Genomic DNA, 12104 nt, shown 5'->3' on the forward strand with positions numbered 1-12104 from the left:
CAAAACACACTTATTCTGTGAATAAAAATACGGAGATCCAAGAGGGAAAGTGGAGGGAAAGATCCTCTAGAACTTGGCCAAGAAAATTTTGCATATATGATTTTGTTTAATTCCCAAAACAACCCTATGAGATGGAGCTATAAGCCACTTAACAGATGGGAAATTGAAGCTTACAAAAGATAACCAAAGGTACTAATTAATAACTAATAGTGCCGTGATTCAAATTCACATCTTGTAAATTACACTTAACTTCAGTAGCAATATTTCTTCAATATTGTAATTTATAAAAATTTCACTTCCCCTAATATCCTTCAGTTACTAAAGTTTGCCAGTTCTTTCCAATATTATTTATTATTCTCTCTTCCATCATCATAATTCAACCACTTAAAATCTCTTACGTGAACCATATCAATAGCCCTCATAGGTAACCTACCTGCCTTTCAACTCATCTCCCCTTCTAATTTTACTGCATATAACCACCACCAAATCAATTTTTCTAAAGATGTCTGTTAAAAACATCTTCGACTGCTCTTTGAACTCCACTGTTTAAAAGCTAATATTCCTTAACCCTGCATTTAAAGTCATAAGCAATTTGGTTAGTTTAATAGTACTCTCAATGTCCTATATACATGTTATGATCCACCCGTACTCAGCTACTTGTTACTCCTCTAAACATACCTTGTTCTTTTTCACTTCCATATTTTTTTTCTCATACTATTTCCTTCTCCAATTGAAGTCCTACCTACCCTCTATGGCTTCTAAGAATTTGTGATAGACTGCTAGAGCAGCATTAATAGATAAGGGTTCTGATACTGGTTTTGGATTTCTTTCCATTACAACTCAGGTACTGTATGTTCTCCTGTACATGTTAAATAAATAGAATAAATAACCAACATGACAATATTTCATACAAATACGGTATCTGTTCTGTAAGAGTTGAAAGAGCTCCAGAAAAGAAAGTAAAATGACCAAAGAAATTGGAAGTTTCTCCATAAAGCCAGACTAAAAAACTATGATGGTTCTATCAGAAAAAAAGAAAAGGTATAATGAAGATACTTCAATGAAATTTAGAAAACCTTAACTTCATGCACTACTTTATTAAATCCCTAATGAATAAAGGAAATATCACTTTATAAACTCAAAATAAAAATTATCCTGAAAAGCTGATACAGGTTTGAAGTACAAAAGGTTTCAAAAAGGTTTTGTTGTATCAAACATTATTAGACTGCTTAATGATCTCTGAAATACAATTCTTATTTTCTAAAGGTAAAATCAAGGAGAACCACTGCCATGCTCTCCCACAAAATATCCCTTAATGCCCTCAGATACTTAGAAAAAAAATATGGAAAAAAAGAGTACACTAACACGACTAAATGGATATTAATTTGTATAAATGTACCCTATTATTTTAAGAATTATATAATGAATACTGATAATTCACCATGATCGCTCAGCAAACTTCATTTTTCCTAAAAATAATTCAGGTAAACAAAATCAGAAAATCTGTTCTAGCTTAAACCTCCAATCTGCAACACTGTATATAACTAAAACCATACATATCAATATGAATTTAAGACTAAGTCCTAAAAAATTGCAGGCAAACTATCAAAATTATTTTCTAAGCCTTCATTTAAATCCTAAATTGTGTCCCAGAGACAAATCCTCATTTAGAGTCTAAAGAGGAAATTTTGAACCCAGAAGCCAAGAATAAAAATCGCAAGCATAGTATTAGATTCTAAACGAAGGAGATGCCTTTTTTCTATTACTTCATAATAAACAAAGTAACAGGGTTATCATAGCAAAGCAACATAATAAAGCAAGTAACAGGGTATCATAGCACTTTGAACATCTGTCTAATCCCCATAAATTAATCACAGCTTTGACAACAGAATTTGAAACTAATAGGAAAGACAGCTGAATGGTTACTATTACATAGTTACAGTCTCTGGTACTTACTAGTGTTGGCGAATTTTGATCTGGCCAAAAAGACTCTGGAACAGGCCAATGACCTATAGGAACCCCAGTTTTAGGATTTGGTCTGACATATATGAGTTTGTGACAGCTATGCCAAGGCTGAGATCCAAAAGGCCTTGATATATCTGGCTGCCCATCTATAGCAAAGAAATTAAGACAAAGAAAGCATATATCATAAGGGGGGATAAGCATAAAAAGTTAAATTATATCAATTATTACTTAAATTAATAAAAAATTCCTAATATCTTTTTCCAGGTTTTCCTATTTTTCTTAAATGGCAGAACACTATGTCTGCTGAATATTTAGACTAGATTGTAATTCATTAGACAATAAGTACAAATTCCAACTATGAGTTCGCCAGTTCAAAGGAGGTCCGCAGCATCCTTTGCCTTCCCAACTGGAACACACAAAACATACTTTACGGTGAATATCTGTTTGATGAATGGCATGTTTTCTTCATCAGATGATAAGAGCAAGCACCCAATTTGCCACCTTTATCATCATATCCCAAATGTCAAAAACAGTGCCAGGCACACAATAAATACTAGAATAAATAAGTACTGCAAATTGAGTATTTCTTAGAAATCATTTTAACCGAAGCCTAAAAAAAGAACTTAATAAGCAAATCTAGACCAAAGCACCTACCTTTAATCTAAAATAATTTTAGCAAAACAGCAACTATCTTCAACAATCCAGTAAACATTTACTAGTAACAAACTCTAAACAAAGCATTAAAATAATTTAAAATAAATACACTGTAACAATTAAAATTTTTTTAAGTTTGGTTTCGTTAAAGCAGACATGACACAACTTATTGTTATCACCCATTCCTTCCCTATAGTACCCTCTCAGTGCCCCCATTCTTTCATCTCTATGATCTTTCTCTTCTCCCAGGTACCTACTTTAGTGGACCACCTCTGCCAATTATCATTAAATGATTCTCTAAATCTTTGTGTGTGTGTGTGTTTTGTTTTTTTTTGTTTTTGTTTTTGTTTTTCTTTTTTTTTGAGATGGAGTTTCACTCTTGTTGCCCAGGCTGGAGTGCAATGGTGTGATCTCCACTCACCGCAACCTCCACCTCCCGGGTTCAAGCAGTTCTCCTGCCTCAGCCTCCCGAGTAGCTGGGATCATAGGCATGCGCCACCACGCCTGGCTCATTTTGTATTTTTAGTAGACACGGAGTTTCTCCGTGTTGGTCAGGCTGGTCTCAAACTCCCAACCTCAGGTGATCCACCCACCTTGGCCTCCCAAAGTGCTAGGATTAGAGGTGTGAGCCACCGTGCCCAGCAATGACTCTTAAATCTTGAAATAGGTAACATACAATGCAGAGGGTCTCAACTATAAACCATCCATTGGTTCTACTATAACTCCTTATATCCACTGGCTATTGGAAATAGTTCATGATTACAGAAGCCAAGAAAAAGCCAGGTGGGACTCAGCTAGAGTTAGAAGAATCAAGCTTAATGGCAAAGCCTGGTTCCTCATTTTTGACCCACAATAAACCATTTACTTTCAATCAGTTTGATCCCTGGTACAAAAGTAGCTAAGGAGTTAAACATCTAGGACTGAACACTTTGGGAATTAAAGGGCATAGGAGAAGCATATATATGTTGAGAGGCAATTGTATAATACTACAAAGAAATTATAAAGTTGCTTATCGATAAATCTTTGAAAAGGCTTTTGACTCATCAAAATGTCAGGCAATAGACAATCATTAATACAAAAAGGTGATGCTACTAGACTACTATTAGTTTACCTTGACTTTCCTATTTAATCTTCCCTCTTTACCAACAGCCTTTCTGTCTTAATAATTTGGCCTTGCCTATCTTAAGGCCAAATCACAGTAAGTTTTCAGTTCTAGTTGAATAAACAATAAAGCAAGTTTTGAATGTCTAAAAGAAAAGTGCAATAATACCTTCTACAGGGGAAGGATCTGGTCCTGCTTTTTCAAAGTTTATTACCACCCCACTTTGTACTTTCTGCACCAAGGACTCCAGACACTGATTAAGCATTCTTGGAGAACACACAGAATATGAACGGCCTGAGATTAAAAAAAAGAAGAAGAAGAAGAAGAAGAATATAGTAAACTAGTTAGTTGCAAGAATTCCTATCATTAGCAAGAAAAAAACAACTGTGGGGTTTCTGACAGTACTAATTAACAAAAGTTCAATGGTAAAAGTTGACTAATTTCATTATCTTATGAAAGAATGCACAAAAATCATTATTTCCAACCAACCAACAATCCCATTTTGTGAGAGTATGTACATTTTTTCTTCTAATTACAGGTATTTGGAACATAGAATTCTTGGTCTGAACAAAACACATGAAAACAAGTCACATATTTTATGTTTTTTAAAACATATATATAAAAAACACTATCTCCAACTGTTATGCAATACAATTTATCTTTAACACATATACACACACACATCTAGTAACTGTCTCCCCAAAATCTTATTCCTGCTTAACAAAAGTATTATCACTAAGATTTACTGTGCACATAGTAGGTATGTAATAACTACTTGTTTACTGGCAGTTTTTAAGTATTTTAAATATTTGCATTTTAATATACAGATGGTAGCGTGTGCTTTTCTGAATTTCACTTAGCTTATGTAAACACTTGGGAATTACCTGTCTCACGTGAATTCCCCTTTTGTACGTTTTAACTTATACTACTTTTGGTTCAGAAGCATTAAATACTAGTGATTTTTTTAAAAAGATACCAGTGAAAAGATCTTTTAAAGAGGAATTTTCAACAAAAATATCTAGACCTTTGCTATACAATACTTTATATACTAGACACATGTAGCTATTGAGAACTTGAAATATAGCTAGTCTGAATTGAAATGTATAGTAAGTAAAATATACACCTGATTTTGTTGACTTAGTATGAAAAAATATAAAACATCTCATTAGTAATTTTAAAATATCAATCTCACACTGAAGTAATAAGGATATATTGATTTAAATAAAATATATTATTAAAATTAATTTCATCTATTTTTAATTTTTAAAGTGGCTACTATGAAATTTTTTATTACATATGAAATTTGAATCAGATTTCTATTATACAGTTCTGATCCAGACCAACACTAAAAACCTTGACAGCTAAAACTCAATCTTTGGCCAAATATTTTGCAACATTATTTGTAATAAGCTCAATATGATGCCCTACTCTTTTACACATTCAACCAATTATTTCACAACACAAGCTACATCATTACATTTGACACATCAAATTACTTATATCAACTTACACTTAACGTGATTTGTTAAAGGCTACTCAGAAAAGAGAACATTATAGACAATGGTGATTCAAATCCTCAAAGTCAGCTTTACTTAGAAAAAATAAATACAACAACTTAACTGTATAAAATAATGATGATTATAACCTTAACAAATATCTACCAATTACTGAGTATCTACGTGCCTGGCACTGTTCCAATCATTTTATGATTATTAATTTCTTTAATCTCAGCAACAATTGTATGGGTTATTTTCCCCATTTTACAAATGAGAACACTAAGGCACAGAGAGGCTAACTAACTTTTCCAAGTTAGTATAGTGATAGAGTTACAATTCAAACCCTTACAGTGTATCAGAAACTATTCTGGATATCCTTTGTCCCTTGGAAATCCTCTGTGAATTTGAAATCAGTACTTAAAATACAGCATCTATATGAAGTCATGCTTACTTGAAAGAATTGGTAAATTCAAATTTTTTTCTAAGTCAATTTAAGTATATACAAAAAGCAATCCATAAAAAGGCTAACCATCTTTACATGCAAAATATTAGAAGTTTACATAAAGGTTGAGTATCTTATTTCATGAAATTTAAGCATATTCCTAAGATGTCATTAAAAAGCAAAAATTTTAAAGTATATAAACTATGACAATTATCTTGCTCTCCTAAGTTGTGTCATCAATTAAGAAAACATAAGCAAATCAATCTTAACACGAAATAAAATTACTAATCAGTATATTTTACAAAAATTGGAGAAAAAGAATAAAATGAGTCATTTGGTAATAAAAATCTATTAATTATTTTAAAAGTTAAACAGAAATAGCAAATTTTGCTTTCTTTACAAAGTGAGCCTATATCCTCCGTAATGTTCCTCATGTGTACTTATTGTCTATGTCAAAACTTACTCCTTGGGATATACAACACTTTGTGCTAATGCATAAAGTTTCTAGGATCACTACTTGTATTTGTGAAAAAAGTTTTATTAGCACACACCTTCAAGTCAAGAAGCTGTCTCACTTTGGGTTATGTAGAGTCCACAAAAAAGTCAAACTAAATATAGTGAGTCTAAAGGCAGTATTAGCATCTTTGTCAAATAGAGAAGAAGCAAATGAACATTTCTAAGTTGGTCAATAGTCCTTACAGAGGCTAAGAAAGTTAAATGTATTTAATCTAGAAATATCTATAATTTTTATAAAATACTTAAAAAATTCTTGATATATTTAACAACATGTCTATTACACATTTTAAAATTTGCTATCATCCTTGCACCTCCCCTAAACCTGCTTCTCCCCAGTGTACCATCTCAGTCCTTGGCACAGCCATCCATCTCTAGTGGTTCGGACCAACTGAATCATCTGGGAACCATCCTGGATTGCTTCTTCCCTTATTGTCCTCATCCTTGGTTCTCTTTTGCATTAAGCCACCTCTCAGGACCTCCAAAGCTAGCATAGAACAAAGTACTACTACTAGTCTTCCTGCTTTCATTCTTGCCACTCTATATTCTCATCTAACAGGTGAAGTGGTATTTCAGAAATAGAAATCAGACGTCACCTCCCGTAAAAAGCCTTCAAAAGGCTTCACATCATACTTGGAATATAAAAATATATTTATTGTAGCCTAAAGAGCCATTCAATATTTGGCCTCTGCCTACCCTCTAAACCTAGCTATTACTCTATTCCCCGCTATGTAAGCTCCAGCCATGCCAGCCTTCCTGTTGCTTCCAAACATATAGAGAGCATGTCCCTTTCCTTGCCATTTCCTCAAAAAATATTTATTGTAGCCTAAAGAGCCATTCAATATTTGGCCCCTGCCTACCTCTCTAAACCTAGCTATTACTCTATTCCTCCCTATGTAAGCTCCAGCCATGCTAGCCTTCCTGTTGCTTCCAAATATATAGAGAGCATGTCCCTTTCCTTGCCATTTCCTCTGCCTAGATATTTGTGTAATTAACTCCATTATTCAGGTCTCTGCTTAAATGTTACCTCCTCAGACGAAAACTTAGGTAGAATATGCTTTCTCTGCCTTAAGTTAGTCTCCACTCCCTTACTCTGTTTTGTCTTCATAGTAGGTAGCACCCTACTATCTACTACAATAGTAGTAGGTAGTACTACTATAAAATATCATTTATTTATTTTCCATGATTATTATCTGTCACTCAGTACAAAGACATAAGCTTTCTATTGTTCCTGCTGTACTCCCAACACCCAGTAACAGTTATTTGGCATAGAGTGGGCACTCATTAATTACCTGATATCAAAAGAAAAATGCTTACAATGACTACAATTATGCAATTAAAAAAATACATAGAAAGAAATATATTATTATTTTGGCAATACAGATGAATTTTTTCCAACATTTCCTTAGTGAACATGAATTACTCCATAATGGGAAAAATAAATGTACACAAATACACACATAAACAACTAAATTTTTTTTTTTTTTTTTTTGTGAGACAGAGTCTCTCTCTGTCAGCCAGGCTGGAGTGCAGTGGTACGATCTCAGCTCACTGCAACTTCCACCTCCTGCGCTCAAGCAATTCTCCTGCCTCAGCCTCCCGAACAGCTGGGATTACAGGCGTGTGCCATCACGCCCAGCTAATTTTTGTATTTTTAGTAGAGACGGGGTTTCACCATGTTGGCCAGGCTGGTCTCAAACTCCTGACCTCAGGTAATCCGCCCACCTTGGCCTTCGAAAGTGCTGGGATTACAGGCATGAGCCACCGCGCCCGGCCAACCTTAAGTTTTAAAAATGCACAGGAATTGTTAGCAGTGATTACATATTTGGATAGTGCAATACCAGTGGGTATTATCTTTTTTGTTCTTTCTACTTTTCTGGTGTTCCCCAAAACTTTGTTTAGTGAACATCCTTTAAATTAAAAAAGAAAGGAAACACATTATTCAGAGATATGAAAAGATGAGTGACATTTGAGCGGCTTACTCTTATTGCTAGTAAGAGCATGAAAAGGGGCAAATAAACTATCACATCAGGAAGGATTCAGAATGTATATTTAGGGAAGACTTCCTAATTTCTTGACTAAGATTTCTGCATCATTGAAAGATATCACCAAGGATGACTTTGGAACTTCTCTAGAGATGTTCCTTTCAAAGAATAAGCAAAGTAGCTTTAATACATTACTGCCTAAAGGCAAGACTGCTACATGATGTCTCATGGTTCTTTTCAGACTCTTTGATTACACCACTCACTTGACTTCACACTCTGAATATTCCTGATCCTAGTGACAAAAGTTATAGTATATTTAAGTCCCAAAAGTTCATCATCATTCTAAGTTCAAACTAAGTAATTCCTAGTAAGGAATTTCCAATGTGAGAATGTTATAGCCTCCAAGCCTTTCAGAACCTGTTAAGTAAAATCCCCAGAGTTTAAAAAAAAAAAAAAATCAGAATTTTTAACAAGGGTGCCAGTTCAAAGCTGGAAACTAAAATTTCATGAATATAAATGTGCACCCTCCCACAGAAAAAAATACGACTGTCACTGAAAAATATTATCTATGTAACGAGAATTGTTCATTAATTTTCAAATGTAGATGACAGGTTATCCCTAAAAAAAATTACATATATGCCTTTTTTACCCTTTGTTAATTAAATTGTGAAGGCATTACGAAAGTTCACAAAAAGCATTTCTATAAAATGAAAGCATTTAATGACATGAATAACAGCTTTCTATCTATTTCACACACCTGTGTAAGGTTAATCCCTTTTTGTCTGTGAATTTTGCAGATTTCCAAAATCCATAGAATTTTAGAAAAAATGCACCTAAAATATTAATTAGAACTTACATTTTCTCTTATGTAGCTGGCTATGACGAATCTCATTAGCGCACCAACTGTGTCTGCAGATTATGTCACAGGCCCTTATCATAAGTAAAATAGTGGAATGCTAGACTTGCACATTTTAATATCAAATACAGAATTTGATATTAAAATTATTTTAATACAATTCTCAGGTGAGAACTGAAATGCTCCATGAAACCAAAAATGCCGTGTCTGTACTGACTACTGAATGCCAAAAGCATGGAACGATACTTGGTACACAGTAGGCACGCAATACATACCTATATGAAATTAATCCACCTGTTAGCCAATTCTATATTAAATGAGTTCTGAGTTGATTACATATTGTATTTCAAGATTTTCCTTGATGTTCACTTGGCATAGTACCTACCTAATCTGATGTATAAGTGAAACAGAAGCTGGATAAGACCTCACTATCTGTTTCCTTTAATCTATCAATCTCTTTGCCTCTGGGAAAAATTGCACTTAACCAAGCATACCTCATCAAATACACAGAGATGATTCTCAAGACTGTTTTTGCAAAAAATAATGCTATGGTACTTCTAAATCATTGGCAATCTTTGTAGATAAGAAAATTAGTTTAACAACTTCAAATAATAGCATTTTCTATACAAGTAGAAAAAATATTACCATTCCTTGTCATGTCCAATAGTAACCCACATTCTATTCAAATGAAGATCATAGACCATTAGCAATAAATGTACTATTAAAAGCATATATGCCTAATTCCTAATATTAACTTGTGAAATAAAAACAAACATGGAGCTTTTGAATGTACACTTTTAAAACATTCAGATAAAATCTGCTTTAAGTTACCAAATTACTGCCAGCAAAAAACTTACCGCCTGTCACTTCACACATTGGTGTGATTGCAGAGTCATCTAAAGGCACACCTGTCAACTGTTCTGATTCTACTGACATGGTGCCAGGCAACCGCAACACTAATGCAAAGAGTCTCTGATCCCAACGAAAAGGTTCCTTGGTCAATTCACTTCCAGGCAAAGGAGAATTAAGAGGTAAATGAAGCTGAAAGTAGGGGGGAAAAACAGTAATAAGAATTCCACAGACTATTTTTTCAAAAAGCCTACTTTAATTACACTTACGTTAGAACTGCATCAACTCTCCTATCACTTGAAAAACAAGCTCAAATATAAAAGCTTACTTGTTCAGACATAGCTAAAACAGCACATGATACTGTTTAATTTTCTTAAACTTACTTTGAAGATATAGACTGAAAAAAATCTGTATTGTTGGAATGAATTTCAGATTTAGACTCAATTAATTACTGGGTGCTGAATTGCTTCCAAATAAATAATTTCATTTAATCATTAAAACAACCCTGTGATAGATATGTTATTTTTCTTTTCTTTTCTTTTCTTTTTGAGGTTGCAGTGCAGAGGCACGATCTTGGCTCATTGCAACCTCTGCCTCCTGGGTTCAAGCAATTCTCCTGCCTCAGCCTCCCGAGTAGCTGGGATTACAGGTACGCAACACCACGCCCAGCTAATTTTTGTATTTTTAGTAGAGACAGAGTTTTGCCATGTTGACCAGGATGGTCTCAAACTCCCGATCTCAGGTGACCCACACGCCTCGGCCTCTCAAAGTGCTGGATTACAGGTGTGAGCCACCATGCCCGGTCTTATTATTTTCTAAATGTAAAAAAAAATAGACCTCAAAAAAATGATTTGGCCTCCTGTGTCCAGAGTCAGTACTTTTTTATTACACCACAGCAATCTCAAACATCTTTACAGCTCTTAATATTTTAAAATATGCTTCATTTTATATAAGATAAACAATCTCAAAGCATTTGTAGAAGAGTAAATTTTTGTCACTCTAATTACATTTTAAATGTAGTGATTCTTACCACATCTGAGTAAATGTAGAGAGGTTTGGGGGTTTTTGTATGTGTTGCATGTTTTATTAATAATAGATGTTTCTTCCCTTACACCTGCTAAGTTAGAATCTTTTCTGAGATTCTTAAGCATCTTAAAAAGTTTTAAATGACTATAATGGGCCCTTCTATACCAACAGAGTAACAGTGTACAAACAGAATCCACATATTCATCTCAGTATCACTCAATGAGGATGACCAGACACTATGTTTCTCATGACATGATGCAATACCACAACATCAACTATAAAGGATTCTTACCAAAAAAAAGAGGAAGAAAGAAAAGATTCGACCTGAATTGAATCAAGCCTTCGGTTCTAACTACCAGTTTGCAGGGAATAGTGGGGATATAGGATCAAGTTAAACACCAGCACAAGAGAGCAATCAGTCAAATCCAGAATGTGGAACATTATACAGGACAAATGACCTGGTTTCTCCAATAAATCAGTGGCATAAAAAAGCAAAGGGAAGGGAATCTGAAGAGTTAAAACTGTTATAAAAGAGGCAAAAGCGAAGATTTTTGAGACAATCAGGAAATTTCAAGATTATATTACTGGAATTGTTAATACTCTTTTAAGTGTGATAATGGTATTTAAGTATATGGTGCTTAGGAAAACCAAAATCCTTACCACTTACAAATTTTTTAAAAATAAAATCAAGACTCAGTTTAGGGCTTTTTTCTACAAATACTGGAGTATATTTTTATACAAAACATGCTTTAAAATGATCACTTCTAAATTAATTGTCATTTTTTATACTAATTTCTTCACAAAGCAAGACCTAATTGTATTGTGTACAGCCTTTCTAAATCTCACACAGAGAAGACTTCCAAACTTGATGGGGGTTGAAGTCATTCTACACTAAAATAGACTCAAGTTTCTTCATTGACTTACATCAAACCATTAAAAAAAGAAATCCAATTCTATTCTAGGAAGAGTTTTCCTAGTGAAGCTATGTTATACTGGCACCTCTCTTCAAAAGATTCATGCCATGAGAATATGCTGCAAGACTCCTTCATCAAGATCAGCCAAGATTTTGTGACTCTGGACAGAAGTCATGAGTTCTTTCTCTGGCACGTAAGGCAGAAGGCAGAAGCAACAGAGAAGGAATGCTGAAGAAATCTGGGCCAGCATATTCTCGAGGAAGGTTTCCCAGCCTCACAGGCTCTGTGACAATTGTAAACAG

General features: G+C 34.0%; 1 protein-coding gene across 9 annotated transcripts in view; it reads right to left on the reverse strand.

Moving 5' to 3' along the window:
* Positions 1 to 12104, reverse strand: part of INTS6 (integrator complex subunit 6) — a 118632-nt gene that overhangs the window by 51025 nt on the left and 55503 nt on the right. For 8 of the 9 annotated variants that reach the window (XR_007063673.1, XR_007063676.1, XR_007063675.1 and 5 more), the window contains 3 exons: positions 9871 to 10054; positions 3890 to 4015; positions 1957 to 2111 (listed from right to left, as the gene is read on the reverse strand). Coding sequence is in view for 5 of the 9 variants with exons in the window: in XM_011535040.4 (XP_011533342.1) it covers positions 1957 to 2111; positions 3890 to 4015; positions 9871 to 10054 (465 nt within the window). In the remaining 4 variants the exon portion in view is untranslated. The remainder of the gene's footprint in view (positions 1 to 1956; positions 2112 to 3889; positions 4016 to 9870; positions 10055 to 12104) is intronic. The other variant, XM_047430264.1, reaches the window with a different exon arrangement.

The sequence above is a fragment of the Homo sapiens genome, chromosome 13 (genome assembly GCF_000001405.40).
Source record: "Homo sapiens chromosome 13, GRCh38.p14 Primary Assembly".
NCBI lineage: Eukaryota > Metazoa > Chordata > Mammalia > Primates > Hominidae > Homo > Homo sapiens.